The 23219-nt window shown below is 47.6% G+C and overlaps 1 protein-coding gene and 1 pseudogene across 2 annotated transcripts, besides 2 other annotated features; one reads left to right on the top strand and one right to left on the bottom strand.

The window, feature by feature from the left end:
• Positions 11279-11778: an enhancer, noted in NCBI's record as "H3K4me1 hESC enhancer chr1:242153743-242154242 (GRCh37/hg19 assembly coordinates)". NCBI's record gives its function as "activates a minimal SCP1, AML or CMV promoter by ChIP-STARR-seq in naive H9 embryonic stem cells {active_cell/tissue: H9 hESC(naive)}" and the evidence as "EXISTENCE:reporter gene assay evidence [ECO:0000049][PMID:30033119]".
• CFL1P4 (cofilin 1 pseudogene 4) lies at positions 14044-14721 on the top strand (annotated as a pseudogene).
• A 1606-nt stretch (positions 14722-16327) lies between these two features.
• On the bottom strand, positions 16328-22231 carry MAP1LC3C (microtubule associated protein 1 light chain 3 gamma). Of its 2 annotated transcripts, XM_005273139.4 has the most exons (5): positions 22147-22231; positions 19789-19864; positions 19614-19669; positions 19352-19458; positions 16328-17223 (listed from the first exon to the last, which is right to left on the bottom strand). In XM_005273139.4, the coding sequence occupies exons 2-5, from the start codon at positions 19844-19846 to the stop codon at positions 17001-17003; spliced, it is 444 nt and encodes a 147-aa protein (XP_005273196.1). In that variant the 5' UTR covers positions 19847-19864; positions 22147-22231; the 3' UTR covers positions 16328-17000. The 2 variants fall into 2 exon arrangements, with proteins under 2 accessions (XP_005273196.1, NP_001004343.1); NM_001004343.3 differs by lacking the exon at positions 22147-22231 and having other exon boundaries at positions 19789-19936.
• Positions 19921-20446: an enhancer, noted in NCBI's record as "H3K4me1 hESC enhancer chr1:242162385-242162910 (GRCh37/hg19 assembly coordinates)". NCBI's record gives its function as "activates a minimal SCP1, AML or CMV promoter by ChIP-STARR-seq in naive H9 embryonic stem cells {active_cell/tissue: H9 hESC(naive)}" and the evidence as "EXISTENCE:reporter gene assay evidence [ECO:0000049][PMID:30033119]".
• Positions 22232-23219: the final 988 nt, after the last annotated feature.

Below are 23219 nucleotides of genomic sequence, written 5' to 3' on the forward strand. Positions count from 1 at the left end.
TCACGAGGAGCGCGTAACCCGGAGCCCTCACACGCGCAGTTCACGACAGGACTCACACTCCCGTGAGAATGTAACGCCGCCCCTGGTCTGACCGGAGCTCTGGCCATAACGCTCACTCGCCTGCCACTCACCTCCTGCGGTCCGGCCTGGTTCCTAACAGGCCACTCACGGTTACAGGTCTGTGGCCTGGGGGTTGGGGACTTGTGTCTTAGACATTCTGACTCAGAAAGTCACCCTTAGGGTGAGGCCTGGAAATCTTGCTTAAAATAAGTCCTCCAATTCTATGAGTTGTAGGCTTCAAATAAATAAATGAAATAAGCCCTCCACGTGGATGCTGATGAGTGCTGATGTCTCAGAGCCATTGATCCAGCCGAGGTCAGCAAACTGTGGCCCAGGGGCCAAATCCACCCTATTATATATTTCTGTACAGCTCTTTAAGAATGCTTTTTGCATTTTCAAATGATTGGGAAAAAACAAAAGAAAAATTACATTTCAGGACATGTGAAAAAGTTTAAATCCAAATTTCGGTATCCATAAAGATAATTTTATCCTACAGCCATTTATTTACTTATTGTCTCTGGCTGCTTTTGAACTACAATGGCAGAGTCGGTGAGTGGTGGCAGACAACTTTGAGTCTAAAATATTTATGATTTTGCCCTTTCCAGAAAAAGTTTGTGGACCTCTGCTCTGGGCAAAGCTGGTTTGAATTCTCAGTGCTTGCTGAGGTGCGGCAGCTGTCAGCTGCACCCCAAATACAGGCCAGTTCCACAGAGGGAAATCAGTCATCCCAGGCTCTGCCACGTAGAATCCATTTCTGTGCCACCAAGTTAAATTATTTTGCATCTCTAAAAGATGCTAAAAATGGCACTGAGGTTTAGAAAAATTTCCAAAGGCCCATCCTGTCCCATATCCAAATAAATAAATCTGGTTTTCACAACCCAAAGTTGATTTTATTGCTGAAAGTGTTGCCAGATATGCCCAGCTGGTGTTTACCTATTTCTCTACAGAGCAAATATGGGGCAGGGAGTTGATTTTCTTAGGCTCATTGGGAATGTCCTTGGAAGAGGGCTAGTTAGAACAGGAATTCTCAGGGTTTCATCTGAGGAATTTTTTTTTAAATTGAGACAAGGTCTCCATATGTTGTCCAGGCTGGTCTCCAGCTCCTGAACTCAAGCAATCCTTCCACCTCAGCCTCCCAAAGTGCTGAGATTACAGACGTGCGCCACCATGGCCAGCCTCTGAAGAATGTTAAGTACAAAAAAAGAAAAGCAAAGCCACATGAAGAAGCAGCAGTCACTAAAACATGCTACAGACACAAGGTGCCAGATGAACTTGAGGATAGTCCTTAAACACAAATAAAATCTGTCTGTAGCTTTGGCATTAGAAGTAGAGTCCCAAGAAATGAGGCCAGACAGGTAGTTCATTGAGGACCTCACATAACGTACCATGGATGCTAGTAATTATCCAGCACACAACTGGGAATCATAAAAGAGTTTTGGCCGAGCATGGTAGCTCACACCTGGAATCCTGGCACTTTGGGAAGCTGAGGTGAGAGGATCGCTTGAGCCCAAGAGTTCAAGACCCGACTGGGCAACAGCACAAAACCCCATCTCTTAAAAGACAAAAGAAAAAGTGTTTCAAGAACAGGAGAGTAGTGTTTACTTACTTTTATTTTTTATTTATATTTTGAGACGGAGTCTCGCTCTGTCGCCCAAGCTGGAGTGCAGTGGTGTAATCTCGTCTCACCGCAACCTCCGCCTCCCATGTTCAAGCGATTCTTGTGCCTCAGCCTCCAGAGTAGCTGAGATTACAGGCATGCGCCAGGACAACTGGCTAATTTTTATATTTTTAGTACAGACGGAGTTTCACCATGTTGGCCAGGTTGGCCTTGAACTCCTTACCTCAGGTGATCCACCTGCCTCGGCCTCCCAAAGTGCTAGGATTACAGGCGCAAGCCACCATGCCAGGCCAAAGAGACATGCTTCTGATTTCCACTTAAACTCAACCTGCTTTGTTATCCATGTTGGGGATCACACAGTAAGGGGTAAAATTGTGTATTCTTCCATCCTTTGCCCTTAAGGACTAAAAACTTTATGTTAAAAGTAAACCAGAGGTCGGGTGCAGTGGCTCACGCCTGTAATCCCTGCACTTTGGGGGGCCGAGGTGGGTGGATCACCTTAAGTCAGGAGTTTGAGTCCAGCCTGGCCAACATGATGAAACCCCATTTCTACTAAAAACAAAAAAAATTAGCTGGGTGTGGTGACGGGTGCCTGTAATCCCAGTTACTCAGGAGGCTGAGACAAGAGAATCGCTTGAACCCGGGAGGCGGAGGTTGCAGTGAGCCAAGATCATGCCACTGCACTCCAACCTGGGCAACAAGAGCAAAACTCCACCTCAAAAAATAAAAATATAAAAAAAAAATTGGAAAGGTAAACCAGATAGAGGGCCAGGAATGGTGGCTCATGCCTGTAATCCCAGTACTTTGGGCAGCCGAGGCAGGCGGATCACATGAGTCCAGGAGTTCAAAACTAGCCTGGCCAACATGGCGAAACCCCATCTCAACTATAATAAAAATACAAAAATCAGCCAGGTGTGATGGTGCACTTCTGTAATTCCAGCTACTTGGGAGGCTGAGACAGGAGAACCACTTGAATCCGGGAGGTGGAGGTTGCAGTGAGCTGAGATCGTACGACTGCACTCCAGCCTGGGCAACAGAGCAAGACCCTGTCTCAAAAGAAAAAAATTCAAAAAAAAGAAAATCTCTTTACATTTGTGCAAAAGCTTTATGCTCTGAGATTTGACTTCTCTTAAAGAAGGGCTTTGGAGTTTACCAAATACCCAATTATAACGTAATTAGTCCTGAAAAAAAAAAAGCGGGTGGGGGGCGGGGCGGCGGGTCAGGCCGGTGGCTCACGCCTGTAATCCCAGCACTTTGGGAAGCCAAGGCGGGTGGATCACGAGGTCAAGAGTTCAAGACCAGCCTGGCCAAGATGGTGAAACCCCGTCTCTACTAAAAATACAAAAAATTAGCCTGGCATTGTGGCAGGTGCCTGTAATCCCAGCTGCTCAGAAGGCTGAGGCAGATAATTGCTTGAACCCAGGAGGCAGAGGTTGCAGTGAGCAGAGATCATGCCACTGCAGTCCAGCCTGGGTGACAGAGTGAGCGGAGTGAGACTCAGTCTCAAAAAAAAAGGAAGGGCGGAAGGGCATCTCTGTCCTCTTCTACTTCACTACACCCACACCCCTCCAGTCTCGGAGCCACACGCTTGCCCCACCCCACACTTGCATGGGTAATTTATTCAGGTTCCAACCTGAAAGCCACTTTTTCTGAAAGATCTTCAGAACTGGCTCAGAAAATCTGAGCATGTTATCACCAAAAACATAGTTCTTCATCATTACTTTGCTCCTTTAATTGTTCTAATTTCATGCTCTAAATATCTGTTTTGCGTTTGTTGTCTGAAGGAGCTTTGATCCCAAGTCTTGGTCTATGAGTTATGACATCTGCATTGTTTTTTGATTTCTTCACCTGTGTTTTTCTATTTTAGCAAGCTCCTTGTTATCTGCATATAAACAAGAATCTGTTTGGAAAAGTAGACATGAAGAAGTCAAGAAAAATATGTTTACTATCTTTTGTTTTTGTTTTTGTTTTTGTTTTGAGACAGAGTCTCTCTCTGTCACCCAGGCTACAGTGCAGTGGTGTGATCCCAGCTCACTGCATCCTCCGTCTCTCAGGTTCAAGCAATTATCCTGCCTCAGTCTCCCAAGTAGCTGGGATTACAGGCACGAGCCACCGTGCCTGACTAATTTTTGTATTTTTAGTAGAGATGGGGTTTCATCATGTTGGCCAGGCTGGTCTTGAACTCCAGGCCTCAAGTGATCTGCCCACCTCAGCCTCCCTAAGTGCTGAGATTACAGGCGTGAGCCACCACGCCCAGCCTGTTTACTGTGTTATAATGATTATTTGCTGTTTATCTGAAATTTAAATAAGGACCCAAAAGTTAGGTGTATATTTTCATTTTTTGTTTGTTTGTTTGTTTTGTTTTGTTTGGTTTGGTTTTTTGAGACAGAGTCTCACTCTGTTGCCCAGGCTAGAGGGCAATGGTGCAATCTCCGCTCACTGCAACCTCTGCCTCCCAGGTTCAAGTGATTCTTGTGCCTCAGCCTCCCGAGCAGCTGGGATTACAGGTGTCTGCCACCAGCCCAGCTAATTTTTGTATTTTTAGTAGAGGTGGGCTTTCGCCATGTTGGCCAGGCTGGTCTTGAACTCCTGACCTCAAGTGATCCATCCGCTTTAGCCTCCCAAAATGCTGGGACGACAGGTGCAAGCCACCTCGCCCAGCAATTTCATTTGTTTAAAAATTTGTGTAATGAAGAGTTAGACTCCTAAGGGACGGGGCCATCCACAGCCCATGCTTGGGCACGCGCAGAGTTGCCAGATTTAAAAAGTAAAAATACAGGACACCCTAGTTCAATTTAAATTTCAGACAAACAACAAATAATCTTTTTTGGTGTCTGGCCCACATGGTATTTGGCACAAAGATGATACAAGTCTGAATCTGATCGGCAGGATTACTGATTTTGTGCCTCTAGGAAAATTACTTGATTTTTTTAAATGTCAGGTTTTTTGTCTTTAAAATTGAGAATAATAGTATTAATAAATATTTGCGAGGCCAGGAATGGAGGCTCATGCCTATAATCTCAGTACTTTGGGAGGCTGAGGCAGAAGGATCTCTTGAGCCCAGGAGTTCAAGACCAGCCTGGGCAACAAAGTGAGGCCCCCATCTCTGTCTTTTTGTTTTTTGAGACTGAGTCTCGCTCTGTCACCCAGGCTGGAGTGCAATGGCACAATATCGGCTCGCTGCAACCTCTGCCTCCCGGGTTCAAGCAATTCTCCTGCCTCAGCCTCCTATATAGCTGGGACTACAGGCATGTGCCACCACACCTGGCTAATTTTCGTATTTTTAGTAGAGGCAGGGTTTCACCATGTTGGCCAGGCTGGTCCCAAACCCATGACCTCAAGTGATCCACCTGCTTCGGCCTCCCAAAGTGCTGGGATTACAGGCTTGGGCCACCACGCCCAGCCCCCATCTCTAAAAATACATACATGTAAACATACATGCATAAACTCTTTCAAGGACTTAGTGAATATTGACTAAGAGTTCTAGGGCCATTGTAGATCCTAAATAAATACTGAGTCAAATGGAAGGAGCACATAACCAAGCCAAGATATTGCCTTGAACCTTGAAAAATGAGTGGAAGGAGCTCATCCCTAGAGGGAGCACACTCTAGGCAAAAGAGGAAGCACTGTGAGCAGTGACGTCAAAACGCTGGAGAAGCAGGCTGTGGGCCAGACTGAATGAGCCACTGAGTAGGGCCAGCTCGTGAAATGTTAGGATGTGGCATGCAAAGCCATTGCAACATCTTTGAGGGCCAAAGCAAGGGGCTGTTCCCAGAAAATATGGCACTTAGAAGACCGTGTCATTTAAATCCACAAGACACTGTCCATTTTGTTTTACAATTGGGGCTGGTCGTTTTCAGTAATTGAAAACCTTCTGTCTCCTATTGAGAGCATCCCTCTCCTTTAAAAAATTTTTTTAAATAATTTTTTTTTCTTTAGAGATGGGGTCTCACTATGTTGCCCAGGCTGGCCTCAAACTCCTAGCCTCAAGCAATCCTCCTGCCTCTGCCTCCCAAAGTGCTGTGATTACAGGCATGAGTCACCATGCCCAGCCTGTATCCTTCTCTAAATACCAAGTTACTTTTCCTTTGAGACGGAGTTTCGCTCTTGTCGCCCAGGCTGGAGTGCAGTGGCGTGATCTCGGCTCACTGCAACCTCTGCCTCCTGGGTTCAAGTGATTCTCCTGCCTCAGCCTCCTGAGTAGCTGGGATTACAGGCATGTGCCACCACGCCCAGCTAATTTTGTATTTTTAGTAGAGACAGGGTTTCTCCATGTTGGTCAGGCCAGTCTCGAACTTCCAACCTCAGGTGATCTGCCCGCCTCGGCCTCCCAAAGTGCAAGGATTATAGGCGTGAGCCACTGCATCCAGCCCCAGCTACTTTTTTATTTTGTAGTTTTAGTAGAAACAGGGTTTCACCATGTTGGCCAGACTGGTCTTGAACTCCTGACATCCAGTGATCCATCTGCCTCAGCCTCCCAAAGTGCTGGGATTACACGCATGAGCCACCGTGCCCGGACTTAAGTTACTCTGGAACCAAGATCAATTGAAGGAAGAACCTGGACCACCCCCACCACCCACCCCGCCCACTTTTAGATTCTTATTTCCCGTTGATTCAGGAGTCTACACTGATGAGTTGAGGTGTTAATCTGATTCTGGAACTGACAAGGCATTCTAATACCATAGCTTGGTGTATCAGTGGCATGGTGGTGGCTATGTTTTCTAGATTTTCAGGCAGTGTTTATCTTTTGGTAAAAGTGGCATATAAAAATAAAATGAGGCCTGGCGCAGTGGCTCACGCCTGTAATCTCAGCACTTTGGGATGCCAAGGCGGGTGGATCATTTGAGGTCAGGAGTTGGAAACCAGCCTGGCCAACATGATGAAACCTGTCTCTACTAAAAATGCAAAAATTAGCTAGGCGTAGTGGTGCATGCCTGTAATTCCTGCTACTTGGGAGGCTGAGGCAGGAGAATCACTTGAACCCAGGAGGCAGAGGTTGCCGTGAGCCGAGATGGCGCCACTGCACTCCAGCCTGGTCAACACAGCGAGACTCCGTCTAAAAAAAATTAATTAATTGGGGAGAATTAATTAATTAGTTGGGGAGAATTTATTTTTATTGACCACAAACTGCTTGGCCATTTCCAAACTCAAAGAAGCCAAGCTGTTGCCACCTGCTGGTTTTTGTCGGCATTGACTTAAAGGTCGAAGGAGACACTTCTGAACTAGCTGGAGCTTTCCTGACAGAGGAAGCTATTCCAGGTAGTACAGTCCTGTTGGTTGGAAACTTGGTGCGGTTGAGATCTCATCGCTTGTGAGGAACATATAAATGATACGAAAACTTTGAAGCTAAAAGTGTACCAATCTCTTCATGATGGGCTGTTCTGAAGGACTTTCTATTCTGAAGCCTCGACTAGGGGTTTTCAGATGAAGAACCTGGAGCAGGGATTAAATGATCCCCCAGGACAGGGCAAGGCAGGGCAGACCCTCCTTTTGAACCCAGGTCTGTCTGATGACAAAGCTCCAGCACTTCCCAGGACACTATGCTGTCTCTAAATGCAGTATTGGGCCAAGGAATGTGCTCAATATGTTGTCTTGTGTTTGAACCGGAATCAGGATGAATATAGATGCAGCATAATGATGGCCTTTTTCCAGCGGGCAGGAGGAGAAAGCAGCCACAGTGTTACCACCCAACACTGTTCGGCCCTGCGCTTTTCGAACACAAAATCTGCAATTGATCAAGCTCCCCAGGTGATCCCTAATGTGCACAGGAATCATATTCTTCAGATTCAGAATTCCTATGCACATTAGCAATCGCCTGGGCAGCTTGATAAGTTGCAGATTTTGATTCAGTAGTTTGGAAGAACCTGAGATTCTGCATTTTTAACTTCATATCAGGTGATGTTGATGCTGCTAGTCTATAGACCACCCTCAGGGTCTAGAGTGAAGTCTAGACCAGTGGTTCTCAGCCGGGGGCAATTTGCCCTCCTCCAACATCTGGCAACATCTAGGAACATTTTTGGTATCCTATGGGGGGAGCAGTGCTATTGGCATCTAGTAAATAGAGGCCAGGGAGGGATGCTGCTGAACATCTTACAATGCACACGGCAGCCTCCCATAACAAAGAATTATTTTCCCAAATGTCAATTGCACAGAAGTTGGGAGACTCTGTCCTAGATGATAACTTGGGTTCACCTTCTGCGAGAAGCTCAGGTCTTCTAACCTGGAGTTTGCCGAAAAATAAGTGTGAACTAGTTTTTTTTTTTTTTTGGTGGCCAGGTCTCACTCTGTTGCCCAGGCTGGAGTGCAGTGGCACGATCTCGGCTCACTGCAACCTCCACCCTCCAGGGTTCAAGCGATTCTCCTGCCTCAGGCTCCCAAGTAGCTGGGATTACAGGTATGCATCACCATGCCTGGCTAATTTTTGTATTTTTGGTAGAGACAGGTTTCACCATGTTGGCTAGGCTGGTCTCGAACTCCTGACCTCAAGTAATCGGCCATCGTTGGCCTCCCAAAGTGCTGCGATTACAGGTGTGAGCCACTGGGCCCGGCCTGAACTAGCTTCTTTTGTTTGTGGAAGAAAACAATACACACTTAGAAATCTCCCATACAGGCAAGGTGTGGTGGCTGATGCCTGTAATCCTAGCACTTCGGGAGCCCGAGGTGGGCGGATTGCCTGAGCTCAGGAGTTTGAGACTAGCCTGACCAGCATGGTGAAACCCTGTCTCTACTAAAAATACAAAAAATTAGCTGGGTGTGGTGGTGCGTGCCTGTAATCCAAGCTACTCAGGAGGCTGAGGCATGAGAATCACTTGAACCCAGGAAGCAGAGGTTGCAGTGAGCCGAGATTGTGCCACTGCATTCCAACCTGGGCGACAGAGACTCTGGCTCTAAAAGAATTTTTTTTACATAAAAATATAAAAAATAAAAAACCTCCCGCCAGGTGCAGTGGCTCATGCCTGTAATCCTGGCACTTTGGGAGGCCCAGCAGGGAGCTTTGATCCCACCACTGCACTGCAGCCTGGGCGACAGTGTGACTGAGACCCTGTCTCAAAAAAGAAAAAAAAAAAGATTAAATACAACACAGCCAACATAACTGACACATCAACTTATAAAAAACCACCTACAGCCGGGCATGGTGGCTCACGCCTGTAATCCTAGCACTTTAGGAGGCCGAGGCAGGTGGATCACGAGGTCAGGAGATCGAGACCATCCTGGCTAACACAGTGAAACCCCGCCTCTACTAAAAAATACAAAAAATTAGCTAGGCTTGGTGGTGGGCACCTGTAGTCCCAGCTACTCGGGAGGCTGAGGCAGGAGAATGGCGTGAACCCGGGAGGCGGAGCTTGCAGTGAGCTGAGATCGCGCCACTACACTCCAGCCTGGGCGACAGAGCGAGACTCCGTGTCCGTGTCAAAACAAACAAACAAACAAACAAAAACCACACAAAAAAACCCCAAAAATAACACCTACATAAAAGACCCTCCTGTATGTAGTTTAGCAGCAAAGGAAAGGTGAGGGGATATTGAAGAGACTTGTGAGACTAAGAAGGCCTTTTGAGTTGTGAAGAACTCTGCCTGCATTAACTCTTCCAGGCAAGGGCTTGGCAGGACAGAAATCAGCCAGCCAAGTAGACTTGGCAATGCTTTTCTTCTTATCTCATGCGAGACCAAAACAACAACAAAAAGACCCTTTCTTTCTTTCTTTCCTTCCTCCCTCCCTCCCTCCTTTCTCTCTCTCTCTCTTTCTTTCTTTCGAGACAGAATCTCGCTCTGTCACCCAGGCTGGAGTGCAGTGGCACGATCTCAGCTCACTGCAACCTCCACCTCCCAGGTTCAAGTGATTGTTCCTGCCTCAGCTTCCAAGTAGCTGAGATTACAGGCACGCGTCACCATGCCCGGTTAATTTTTGTATTTTTAGTAGAGACAGAGTTTTGCCATGTTGGCCAGGCTCATCTCGAACTCCTGACCTCAGGTGATCCACCGGCCTCAGCCTCCCAAAGTGCTGGGATTACAGGCATGAATCACTGCGCCCAGCCCTAAAAGACCCTTTCTATTGTGATTTATTCCCCAGGATATCTTGATAGAACTATTACTGTAAACCTAGAACAGAGGTCAGCAAACTTTTTCTGTAAAAGGTCAGATAGTAAATATCTTAGGCTTTGCAGATTTTATGGTCTCTGTGGCAAGTACTCAACGCTGTCACTGTAGCACAAAAGCAGCCAGAGGCAATAATTACCCAGTGGGTCTGGCTGCATGCCAGTAATACTTTATTTATAAAAATAGACCCAAAAGCAAATGGCCCATGGGCAGTAGTTTGCTGACCTCCAGTCTAGGCACTGAAGTGAATCTGGGGCCAGCTGTAGATCCCATGTTAGCAGTGACATAAGCAGCTGGCCCCCGTTTATTTTAGGGGTTGGGGAGAGAGTGACTAATACATTGCAACAAACCAACTGCCCGCAAAAAATATAATGGTTTCCCAGCTTGACCCAGTGACTAAAAGCAGTCACTCACACCACCGAAATTCAATATAAGTAGTTCTATTTTCTCCCTCTGAAGTTGACACTGCAGGTGCTCTAATTTATCGCAAAGCATTAATTAACTACCTAAGATGTACTTAGCATTTCTGGGAGCACTGAGGAATGAAAAAACATGTTACAGTCCATGTTCTGAAGCAGTTTCCTTGGTGTAACCATGGTGCTAAGACATAGACACACAATCACAGCACTTTCAAACACCCATGGAGAGGTTATTCAGTAAATGTGCATGAAAAATTGGTTAGGCATTTGGAAAAAGATGAAACCTGGTTGGGAGGCCAAGGCGGGTGGATCATGACATCAGGAGTTCAAGATCAGCCTGGCCAACATGGTGAAACCCCGTCTCTACTAAAAATACAAAAATTAGCCGGGCATGGTGGCGCATGCCTGTAATCCCAGCTACTCAGGAGACTGAGGCAGGAGAATTGATTGAACCCGGGAGGCAGAAGGCTGCAGTGAGCCGAGATCACACCACTGCACTCCAGCCTGGGCGACAGAGCGAGACTCCGTCTCAAAAAAAAGTAAAATAAAATAAAAACAACTACATGAGAAAATTTCTATAAACAAGGTCAAAATAAATGGAGCAATTCTTTTTAATATATATGACACATAATTAATCATTCAACTACAACAATCAATAGAAAATGATGAAACGCCTAAAGAAAAGTAATACTTCACAGAATACATCACTGATTAATTTTAAGTACCTGAGTAGATGCTTAAAAAAAAAAAATCCAGACTAAAAACAATTGAAATCCATCCCTTACGCACAGATCAGCATCTGTCCTGGTTTTTGGGTCACGTGCTCTCTGGCCACTCCTCCCGAGCATGCTCCCTCCTGGAACCCAGCCACCTGCTGAGAGGCCACTTGGAGTCACTCCAGTCTTCAATCCCAGCTGGCCCCAACCTTGAGTCATCCCAGCCCAGGGGCTGGACTTGCGAATGAAGAAGCCTTTGGATGATTTCAGCTCCCAGCCATTTTTTTTTTTTTTTTTTTCCTGAGATGTCTCGCTCTGTCGCCCAGGCTGGAGCGCAGTGGTGCGATCTCGGCTTACTGAAAACTCCGCCTCCCGGGTTCAAGCAATCCTCCTGCCTCAGCCTCCCAAGTAGCTGAGAATACAGGCGCCTGCCACTACGCCCAGCTAATTTTTTGTATTTTTAGTAGAGACGGGGTTTCACCGTGTTAGCCAGGATGGTCTCGATCTCCTGACCTCATGATCTGCCCACCTTGGCCTCCCAAAGTGCTGGGATTACAGGCGTGAGCCACTGTGCCCTCAGCTCCCAGCGATTTAAGTCACTCCCAGCCTTCAGGTGTTTCTGGCTGAGTCCCCGGGCACCGTGGAGCATAGACAAGCTGTCACCGTGTACGTTTTCTGAAATCCCCTTACCACAGACTCCATGAGCATAAAAAACAGAACAAGACTCCACCTCAAAAAAAAAAAATCACTCCAGAAAGTAGATTTATTTGGGAAGAATACTCATTGAACCAGGCTAAGCAGTAAGAGTATGTCTGGAGAAGGAACCTAGGAGTCAGGGTTTTTAGTTGGCATATGGCACAGATGACTTGAAGGACATATTAGAGGAACTGACTACAGCAGACAAGCCAGGGAGGGCAAGGACAGCCACAGGCAGGAGAGAGGGTGAGCAGCCACCTGGGAGTGGGGAAAGCAGCCCAGAGGAGGAAACAGCAGGCCCCGGAAGGAGTGAGCCCAGGAGATCTGCCAGGCCCAGCACTTTTGAGGGACTTTAGGGAGCTCACATCTTCTCTGAGTTCCAGCTTCTTGAACAAATGCTCTCTCTCAGCGGGGCACGGTGGCTTATGCCCTATAATCCCAGCACTCTGGGAGGCTGAGACGGGTGAATCCCTTGAAGCCAGGAGTTCAAGACCAGCCTGGACAACATGGTTAAACCCCATCTCTACTAAAAATACAAAAATCAGCCAGGTGTGGTGGTACACATTTGTAATTCCAGCTACTCGGGAGGTTGAGGCATGAGAATAGCTTGAACCTGGGAGGTAGAGGTTGCAGTGAGCCAAGATTATGCCACTGCACTCCAGCCTGGTTGACAGAGCAAGCAAGACTCTGCCTCAATAAAAACAAAACGAAACAAAACAAACTCTCTCTCTCCCATTAGAATGCTTCCTCTTTCCATCATTTGTCTTTTATACAAGTCCAAATACCTTAACAAAATTTACAGGGCCCCGAAGACCTGCCTAGTTCTTTCTCCCTGTCACTGGCTGCAGCCACCCTGGAATCCTGCTTGTAAAACTCTTAGACAGTAGGACCCTTTTCTCAATCATGCCTTCCTCTGCCTGGTGTGTTCCGTCTCCACCACTGGCTCCGTTCCATCATTCTGGCCCAAGTGAAAATTATTCTCCCTCTGATCACCTGGAAAATGCATTCCATCTGCCAATCACTGAGTTTTTTTCTTCTTTTTTATTGTACTTATAAATATCTGAGTGCTATCTTCCTTCCCTTGCTAGCATTAAACTGGGCTCCATGAGGGCCAGGACCTTGTCTACCTTGTTCAATGAGGTATTTTCAGGACCCAAAATAGTGCTAGTAGATAGTCAGTAAATGCTCAATAAATGTTTGCTGAAAATCAATAAAACTCCTTCCTAAATAAACTCTCATCCACACTTCAAAACCCAGTTCACAAACCCAGGAATTTGAGGCTGCAGTATCTCCTGTGACCATACTCTCCAAGCACTTGTTCTTGTTGCACTGTTGATGAATGAAACACCCTATGTTTTGTTTTTGAGACAGGGTCTCATTTTGTCACCCAGGCTGGAGCGCAGTGGCGAGATCTCAGTTTACCACAACCTCTGTCTCTTAGGCTCAAGCGATCCTCCTGCCTCAGCCATGTAGCTGGAACTACAGGTGTGCACACCACCATCCAGCTAATGTTTGTATTTTTTGTAGAAACGGGGTTTTGCCATGTTGCTCAGGCTGGTCTCAAACTCCTGAGCTCAAGCAATCCACCTGCCTTGGCCTCCCAAAATGCTGGGATTACAGGTGTGAGTGACAACGCCCGGCCTTGAAATACCCTATGGTTAATGCATTCATGGAGCTCTACTGTACCTCCTGTCCCCTCTGTAGGTTGTGTTAGTGTCACTCAACACTGTAGCTCAAGTTTCCCGTCCTTGTCAAGTAAAGTCACTTCAACTTAGGTAGGGAGCCCAGCAGAAAGCTAGCAGCATGGCTTGTAAATGTGGCTCCCCAACCTGAAGTCCTGATGAGACTATGTTATGTGAAAATGGAAAATATTCTTGATCTTTCTAGGCCTCAGTTTCCTTATCTGTAAAATGACAGTAATAGAATCCAGGGTCGCTAGTTTGTTGGGCAAGCACTGTGAAAACATATCCACTTGTGACCTGCTGCACCTTAAGTTCTTGTTTCCAAAAGTACCAGGAAGAAGCTCAACCCCAGGAAAACACAAAAACCAGCTGGATCCAGAGATGCCTGAGTTGGAGCTGAACTTTGGAGAACTCTCTTCATTACCACACTAAAAATCCCCTCCCTGGCCTGTGCGGTGACTCATGCCTGTAATCCTAGCACTTTAGGAGGCTAAGATGGGTGGATCACTTGAGCCTAGGAGTTTGAGACCAGCCTGGGTAACATAGTGAGACTCCGTATCAACAAAAAATTTAAAAAATTGACTGGGCATGGTGGTGCACACCTCCATAGTCCCAGCTACTCTGGAGGCTGAGTCAGGAGAATCGCTTGAGCCGGGAGGTGGAGGTTGCAGTGAGCCGAGATTGCACTACTGCACTCCAGCCTGGGAGACAGAGTGAGACCCTATCTCAAAAACAAACAAAAAAAAGGTTCAGTCATCTCTGATGGTGTCATCAAGGTGTTCAACGACATGAAGGTGTGTAAGTCTTTGACGCCAGAGAAGGTGAAGAGGCACAGAAGACGGTGCTCTTCTGCCTGAGTGAGGACAAGAACATCATCCTGGGGGAAGGCAATGAGATCCTGGTGGGTGACGTGGGCCAGACCATCCATGACCCCTACACCGCCTTTGTCAAGATGCTGCCAGATAAGAACTGCCACTGTGCCCTCTACGACACAATCTATGAGACCAAGGAGAGCAAGAAGGAGGACCTGGTGTTTATCTTCTGGGCCACTGAATGGGCACCCCTTACGAGCAAAATGATCTATGCCAGCTCCAAAAATGCCATCAAGAAGAAGCTGACAGGGATCAAGCAAGAATTACAAGCAAACTGCTACGAGGAGGTCAAGGACCGCTGCACCCTGGCAGAGAAGGTGGGGGGCAGTGCCTTCATCCCCCTGGAGGGCAAGCCTTTGTGAGCCCTTTCTGGCTCCCTGCCTGGAGCATCTGGCAGCCCCACCTCTGCCCTCAGGGGTTGCAGGCTGCCCCCTTCCTACCAGACCGGAGGGGCTGGAGGGACCCCAGTAGGGGGAGGGCAATCCCTTCAGCCCAGTTGCCAAACAGACCTCCCACCGTGGATTTTCCTTCTCCCTCCATCCCTGACGGTTCTGGCCTTCCCAGACTGCTTTGGATCTTCTGATTCCTCTCGGGTTGAAGCAGATCAAGTTCCCCCCAGGCACCCGAGTTGTGAGGGAGACTGTATTTTTTTTAACAACACCCGCACTCCCCACCTGTTCCTTCCCCTTCCCATGCTGCCAACTATTTTTTTTTTTTTTTTTTTTTTTTGAGACAGAGTCTCACTCTGTTGCCCAGGCTGGAGTGCAGTGACGTGATCACAGCTCACTGCAACCTCCACCTCCTGGGTTCAAGCAATTTTCCTGCTTCAGCCTCCCCAGTAGCTGGGACTACAGGTGTGCACTGTCATGCCCGGCTAATTTTTTGTATTTAAGTAGAGATGGGGTTTCACCGTGTTGCCCAGGCTGGTCTTGAACTCCTGAGTTCAGGCAATCTGCCCACCTCAGCCTCCCAAAGCGCTAGGATTACAGGGATGAGCCACTGCGCCCGGCCCCATGCTGCCAACTTCTAACCACAATAGTGACTCTGTGCTTGTCTAGTTCTGTGTTTAAATGGAATGTTGTGAAGATGACCCCTCCCTGTGCCGACAGGTTCCTCTTCCTTTTCCCCTGGTCACAGCCACTCATGGAAGCAGGACCAGTAAGAAACCTACGATTAAAAAAAAAAAAAAAAAACCCGGGTGCAGTGGCTCATGCCTGTAATCCTAGCACTTTGGGAGGCCGAGGTGGGCAGATCACCCGAGGTCAGGAGTTCGAGACCAGCCTGACCAACATGGAGAAACTCTACTAAAAATACAAAAACTCTACAAAAAATACAAAATTAGCTGGGCGTGGTGGCGCATGCCTGTAATCCCAGCTACTGGGGAAGCTGAGGCAGGAGAATCGCTTGAAGCCAGGAGGCGGAGGTTGCAGTGAGCTGAGATAGCACCACTGCACTGCAGCCTGGGTGACAGAGCGAGACTCTGTCTCAAAAAAAAAAAAAAAAAGATAATAATAGAAAGCTCATTAATGGGGGAAAAAAAATCTCCTCCTAGGGAGAAGCTTATTCACTATTTTATACACAGGCAACATATGTGGAAGCATGGCCGGTGACTGCGCCTGTACTCCTTGACTCCACCTCTGCCCAATAAATGCCCTGCATTCACTTTTGTTCAGGGAGGCACTGCTTTGGGAACTATCCCCAGTGTCCTCCTTACGTGTTAGAATTAATAAAATCCCCTTTTTAAATCCTCCTTGGGAGTAGTCATTGGACCGTCACCCACCAAGCGATCAAACCCACCCATTGTGTGGGTTAACTGTAACAGTAGTTAGCCATAGAGAGTTGTGATAAGAAGCCAAAGAATAAAGCTCCTTTAAAATAAAGAATATTTATTTTAGAATACAGCTTGGCACATAGTAAACATGCACATGGTTTAAATGACTTCATGTTGAGAAGTTACAGCTTTGGCATAAATATGTATGGTATAGAAAGACAAAAAGAGAATGACAGAAAATAACTAAATAGAGTGAATGCTGGGGAAATCGAATAATCTCTCTAATGACACAGATAAGAGCACCTCCAGATGAGCTTACCATTGTTCACGCTGGCTTCACTGGGTTCCACAGAGACAGCCTACAGGCCAGAGATTCTCTAGTACCGAGCCCTAGATGGGACACCTGCCCACATGCAGGGAGTGAAACCCACTCCTTAATGGCCCTCCCACATATACCACAGAAGACACTTAAAATATTATCTCTAGCTCATTACACAAAACCATCACACAAGCCAACCATTTCTTATTTAGAATACGGTTATATGGCTGGATGCAGTGGCTCACGCCTGTAATCCCAGCACTTTGGGAGGCCGAGGTGGGTGGATCACCTGAGGTCAGGAGTTCGAGACCAGCCTGGCCAACATGGTGAAACCCCGTCTCTACTAAAAATACAAAAATTAGCCTGGTGTGGTGGCATGTGCTTGTAATACCAGCCACTCGGGGGGTGGAGGCAGAAGAATCACTTGAACCCAGGAGGCGGAGGTTGCAGTGAGCCAAGATCATGCCACTGTGCTCCAGCCTAGGCAATAGAGCAAGACCCTGTTTCAAAAAAAAAAAAATGATAATTATATAACTTTCAAGAGCAGCCCACATTTTTCTTAGAAGGACACAAGAACACGGAGCACAAAAACTAAACTAGGAAGAGCCACCACTCTGCTGCCACTGGTTGGAGCTGATCACCCCAGGCATCCCTGCTTCTCAGACTCCTCCACTGTATACACAGGAGAAAACCAATCCCTTCTGCCAGCATCTGACACGTCTGTCAGAGCACACATCCTTCCCGACATGGGCTAGAGAGGATTGCAGGGTCTGTCCTCAAGGCTGCTCCCATCCCTGGGGGCTGCTGACTCCAGGCAGCCAAATGTCTCCTGGGAGGCGTAGGTCATGTACACGAAGCCATCCTCATCCTTGTAGTCTCTGTAGATCTCTGCCATGGTTGCGCTCATGCTGACCAGGCTCTTGTTGTTCACCAGCAAGTAAAAGGCTTCCGTGGCTCTCAGGACCATGCGGCTCCTGGGATGGGCAGGAGGGTGGTGAGGGTATGGCCTGCGAGACAGCCCAGGGATCTGCAGCCTCATGACACTCAAGAAGACTGAATTGCTCCCTTCTTCTTCCCTGAGATTTAGGAACTACAAGGCTTCCCATTTGGGTCAAAAGGGTGAGGCCATTCCATGGATGAAATATGACAACACAAACAGGTTGAGGAAACATGACAACACAAAAATGCTAAGCAAATAACTTCCATTTGCTATGAAATTAAAGCTATTGGGCTGGATGCAGTGGCTCACACCTCTAATCCCAGCACTTTGGGAAGCTGAGGCAGGCAGCTCACGAGGTCAAGAAATCGAGGCCATCCTGGCCAACATGGTGAAACCTGGTCTGTACTAAAAATACAAAAATTAGCTGGGTGTGGTGGCGTGAACCTGTAGTCCCAGCTACTCGGGAGGCTGAGGCAGGAGAACCAGGAGGCGGAGGTTGCAGTGAGCCGAAATTGCGCCACTGTACTCCAGCCTGGTGACAGAGCAAGACTGCGTCTCAAAAAAAAAAAAAAAAGAAAAGAAATTAAAGCTATTTCCCTAGAAGTACAAAGGTGATGCACAGTCTCGCTGATATTTCACTTTTTTTTTTTGATTCCCCTGCCTCAACCTCCCAAGTAGCTGGGATGACAGGCACGCAACACCACACCTGGGTAATTTTTGTATTTTTAGTAGAGACGGGGTTTTGCCATGTTGGCCAGGCTGCTCTTGAACTCCTGACCTCAGGTAATCTGCCCTGCCTTGGCTTCCCAAAGTGCTGGGATTACAGTGTGAGCCACTGCGCCTGGCCCTAATCCTAACTTTCATTCTCCCTTGGCCATCTTCCATTCACACTGAACTAACTTTAACATGTAAGTTTGCCTAGAGAGAGGAAATCAGAATGCTCTTAACTCAGTAAAACAAAATAAAAAGAGGCCTGGGCAACATCGTGAGACCCCCATCTCTACAGAACATTTTTAAAATTAGCCGGGCACGGTGGTGCTTTCCTGTAGTCCCAGCTACTCAGGAGGCTGAGATGGGAGGATCGCCTGAGCCCAGAAGGCCAAGGCTGCAGTGAACTAGGTTCACACCACTGCACTCCAGCCTAGGCGACAGAGCTAAATAAAGCAAAATAAAAAGACACTCATTCATCGTGTGTTCTCAAAAAAACAGGCTGCAACAGCGATGCAGCTTCCAAGCACTTTTCAACCCTGTTGAAAACTTACTCATCGGGTATATTTACTTTACTCCCAAATCATTTTTTACTGAATCCATGTGTCAAGTGATGTCCTTTATGCTTTAAGAATAGCTGCCTGTTCTTTGCTGTACCTCTGGCTTAACCAAGGGAGGAGTGTGTTTGGGGGATGCTTTTCTCTCTCAGTGTTCTGAGCAGGGAACGTTTCCTTTGGGGAGAAGTCCCCACCCCTAGGCACACATACACTTGGAAAAGGTGCTGGTCTCTGCAACGGACGCGCAGACTCGGTTTCACACAAGATCTGAAAGAAAGGATCTCCCGGCCTAGCTTGAGAGCCAAGACTAACTACTTTAGGAAATTCTTAGAAATGTTGGCAGGTCTTTTTTGTTGTTGTCGTTGTCTGAGGGATTCTCCTTACCTGTTTAAAATAGAGTAATTCTTTTTTTTTTTTTTTTTTTTTTGAGACAGAGTTTCACTCTTGTTGCCCAGGAGTGCAGTGGAACAGTCTCGGCTCACTGTAACCTCCGCCTCCCAGGTTCAAGCGATTCTCCTGCCTCAGCCTCCCAAGTAGCTAGGATTACAGGCACCCGCCACCACGCCTAGCTAATTTTTGTATTTTTAGTAGAGACAGGGTTTCACCACGTTGGCCAGGCTGGTCTCAAACTCCTGACCTCTGCGATCCACCTGCCTCAGCCTCCCAGAGTGCTGGGATTACAGGCATGAGCCACTCCGCCCGGGGTTTAAAATAGAGTAATTCTAAGAGCATCTTTTCAGGGTACTAGTGAATCTAAAAGGTGACTTCAAAAAAATCTCTTTCCTCTCTTCCCCTGACGTGCCCCCATCCCCAAAATAAAACTGCCAAACGAAGAAAGCCCAACAGCCCCGGCGCACCCAGCGCACCTTCCTCCGGGGCACGCTCTGCGCCACCTACCGGATGATGCTGAGGAACTGGGTCATGGTCAGCTCCTGCGGGACCAGGAACTTGGTTTTGTCCAGCGGGGGCAGGAACGTCTCCCTGGGGTAGCGCTCCACTACCACCTGTCAAGAGTGTCAGTCCTTAAGAATGTGACTCAGCGTGAGTGTTAGGAACTTGGAACAGACAGAGGGAAGCTGTTGGCTGCTCTTGGTTTTTCAGAGAACAGGATCGGAACCCCACCCCCACGCCCCCCAGCGGAAGTCCAGTGGTGTCTTACCGGGATTTTGTTGGGGAACTTTGCCCGGATTCCAGCAACTTCCTCTTGTCTGATTGCTGTGAATATTTCAAGCACAAGAGAAGAAGCAAAGATCAAGAAAAGAAGCAAAGATCAAGAGAAGGCCAGATCCGCTCCTCTCTTTAGATAACCCAGAAAGCTACCCCAAGAAATTTACCCAAGCTTTTCCTCTGCTTGAAGGGTCTGACGCTTGGGATTTTCTGTGGAGGCGGCATTGCACTCAGTAGCTGTGTCTGTTTTAAAAAAGAAAAAAAAACTGTCCCGCAACCGGGAACCTAACTCATTCCTCCAGCTGCTTCCAAACTGCCTGCAGGAGCCTGAAGGAGGCCCTTATGTAGGGCTGAGTGACATCAGGCCTCTCCTCTCCCTCCCCTCTCCCCACTCCCCCTCCCTGGGCAGCAGGAGGTCAGTTCTGATGGAAATGGAATCGCCACCTGCTTGCTGGTCAGAGAAAGCCACTTTGTTCATGACCAGTTCAAGATGTTTCTTTGCAAAAGAAATTAGGGTTTGTAATAAAATCATTGGCTGGGCAGCGGACTGTGGAGAGGTAAAACTGCCTTGTGCTGGGATGTTTTTGCCCTTCAGTAGCAAGGGGGGGTCCAAGCTGGATCCACCTCAGCCTGAAGTGTGCTGTGTAGTTCTCACAATGGTCCATGCCCTTTATCACAGAAGGAAACCTATACTAAGAAAGGTGAAGTGATTTGCTCGAGGGCACACAGCAAGTAAGAGAAGCGGTATGGATTAAAACCTAGAGCTGTACACTGGGTGCAGTGGCCCACGCCTGTAATCCCAGCACGTGGGAGGCCGAGGCGGGTGGATCACCTGGCCAACATGCTGAAACCCCATCTCTACTAAAAATACAAAAATTAGCCGGACGTGGTGGCTGGCACCTGTAATCCCACCTACTCAGGAGGCTGAGGCAAGAGAATCGCTTGAACCCAGGATGCGGAGGTTGTAGTGAGCTCAGGTCACACCATTGCACTCCAGCCTCGGCAACAAGAGCGAAACTTCATCTCAAAACAAAACAAAACAAAACAAAAAAAACCCAGAGTTGTTACAAGGAAGTCCAAGTACTACACTCCAGTATATTCTGTCACTTAGTTTTCTCTGGGATAAAAGAAGGAAGGAAGGACAATTGTCCCCAAGATCTTGCTTTTAGAGTTAAGAAACTGGGTCTCTGGTCATACATAGGGGAAACCAAACTCCATTTCTCCTATATTCTCACAACACAGATCACTTTTGACACTAGATGTGTGTGTGTGTGTGTGGGTGGGTGGGGGTTCCCCATACACCGAGCAATCACTTCTACAGTGGACACCAGCTAGGTGTCCTCCAATCCAACTCTGACACTGTCTACCTGGAGACAGCATCAGATCGGGCTGAGGGCTCTGTCCCACAAGACTGTCCCCCACTTTCAATGCCGATTGCAAGCCCCAAGTTGTGTTTGTTGTTTTTTTGCTTGTTTGAAACAGAGTCTTGCTCTGTTGCCCAGGCTGGAATGTAGTGGCACGATCTCAGCTCACTGCAATCTCTGCCTCCTGAGTTCAAGCGATTTCTCCCGAGTAGCTGGGATTACAGGCACATGACACCATGCCTGGCTAATTTGTGTGTTTTTAGTAGAGAGGGGGTTTCGCCATGTTGGCTAGGCTGGTCTGAAACTCCTGACCTTGTGATCCTCCTGCCTTGGCCTCCCAAAGAGCTGGGATCTCATGCGTGAGCCACTGCGCCCAGCCCCTAGCTTGTTTTCCCTGTGCTTCTGATCTATGGGACATAAGTCAGGCTTCCCACAGCCCCCGCCTTGGGTTTCATTAATTGGCTAGAATGACTCACAGAACTCAGGGAAACACTTTTACCGGCTTATTACAGAGGATATCACAAAGGGTACAGATGAAGAGATGCATAGCGAGGTATGGGGGAAGGGCATACCACCCTCCAGGAACCTCCACGTGTTCAGCTAGCAGAACCTAGGCCTTTTGGGTTTTTACGGAGGCTTCATTATGTAAGCAAGATTGATTAAACCATTGGCCACTGGTAATCAATTTAACTTTCAACCCCTCTACCCTCCCCAGAGGCTGGAGGTGGGGCTAAAAATTCCAACCCTCTAATCTCACCTTTGTCTTTCTGGCGACCAGCCCCCATCCAAAGCTACCCAGGGACTGCTAGCCGTCAGTCAACTGATGAACTAAAAAAAGACACTTATTGCCGGGCATGGTGGCTCATGCCTGTAATCCCAGCACTTTGGGAGACCAAGGTGGGCGGATCACTTGAGGTCAGGAGTTTGAGACCAGCTTGGCCAACATCATGAAACCCTGTCTCTACTAAAATACAAAAAAATTAGCTGGGCGTTGTGGTGGGTGCCTGTAATCCCAGCTACTAGGGAGACTGAGGTAGGAGAATGGCTTGAACCTGGGAGGTGGAGCTTGCAGTAAGCTGAGATTGTGCCACTGCACTCCAGCCTGGGCAACGGAGCGAGACTCCACCTCAGAAAAAAATAAAAATAAAAAAAGACACTTACCACTTTGAAAATTCCAAGGATTCCACCAGGTGCAGTGGCTCACACCTGTAATCCCAGTACTTTAGGAGGCGGAGGTGGGCAGATCACCTGAGGTCAGGAGTTCAAGATCCACTTGGCCATCATGGTGAAACCCCCGTCTTCACTATAAATACAATAATTTGCCAGGCATGGTGGTGGGTACCTGTAATCCCAGCTACTCAGAATCCTGAGGTAGGAGAATCACTTGAACCCAGGAGGTGGAGGTTGAAGTGAGCCGAGATTGCACCACTGCACTCCAGCCTGGGCAACAGAGTGAGACTTCGTCTCAAAAACAAAAAACAGAAACAAACAAAAAAGAAAATTCCAAGAATTTTTAGAACTTGTATTCCAGGAAATTGAATGAAAACTAAACATGTATTTCTCAATATCACAGGGCCTGAGAAATTAATCCCTTGCCTGGACTCAAAAGGGCTAGGAAGGGCAAGACACAGCTCTTCCAGTTCCCACGGCCAGGAGTTGCTTCCTGGTACTTACGCCCATCCAGGTAGCCCTTCAGACACTGCATGGCCAGAAGGCTTGCATTTCCTTTATTGTTAGCAGTGTATGCCATGATTTTCTGTAGTCATTCAGCAGTGAAGAGTATTAAAATGAACAAAATGTGACAAAGGAGAAGGAGATAGTACATTTGCTGGTGAATTGAAGGGCCTGACTCTTGGGGCTTTAGCTCAATGATAAGAAATAGATGTCAAGAGATTAAATGATGGCATCATTGAAGAGATAAGTGGCCTCGTCCTCTTTCTCTGTCTTAAAAAAGAAGGCATCCCGTCAGGTGTGAATAGTAAGGAGCAAGTGTGCAGTGCTCTGTGCTAAAGTACCTTTCAAATCTGCAATCTCATGTAAACTTTCCCAGTTGCCTTGCATGTGGGAAGGGCAGGCAGGATGCTCACACTGCTGTGGTCTAGATCATTCAGCCAGAATGCAAACTGCGCCGGGATCCAACCCAGATTGGCCAATCTCCAGGGGCAGCCCAGACTCTAAGACCAGGCAAAGTTGGTTCCAAGCCTGGCCCTCCCACCTATGCACCTTAATTTCTG

Source organism: Homo sapiens, chromosome 1 (genome assembly GCF_000001405.40).
Source record: "Homo sapiens chromosome 1, GRCh38.p14 Primary Assembly".
NCBI classification, from domain to species: Eukaryota; Metazoa; Chordata; class Mammalia; order Primates; family Hominidae; genus Homo; species Homo sapiens.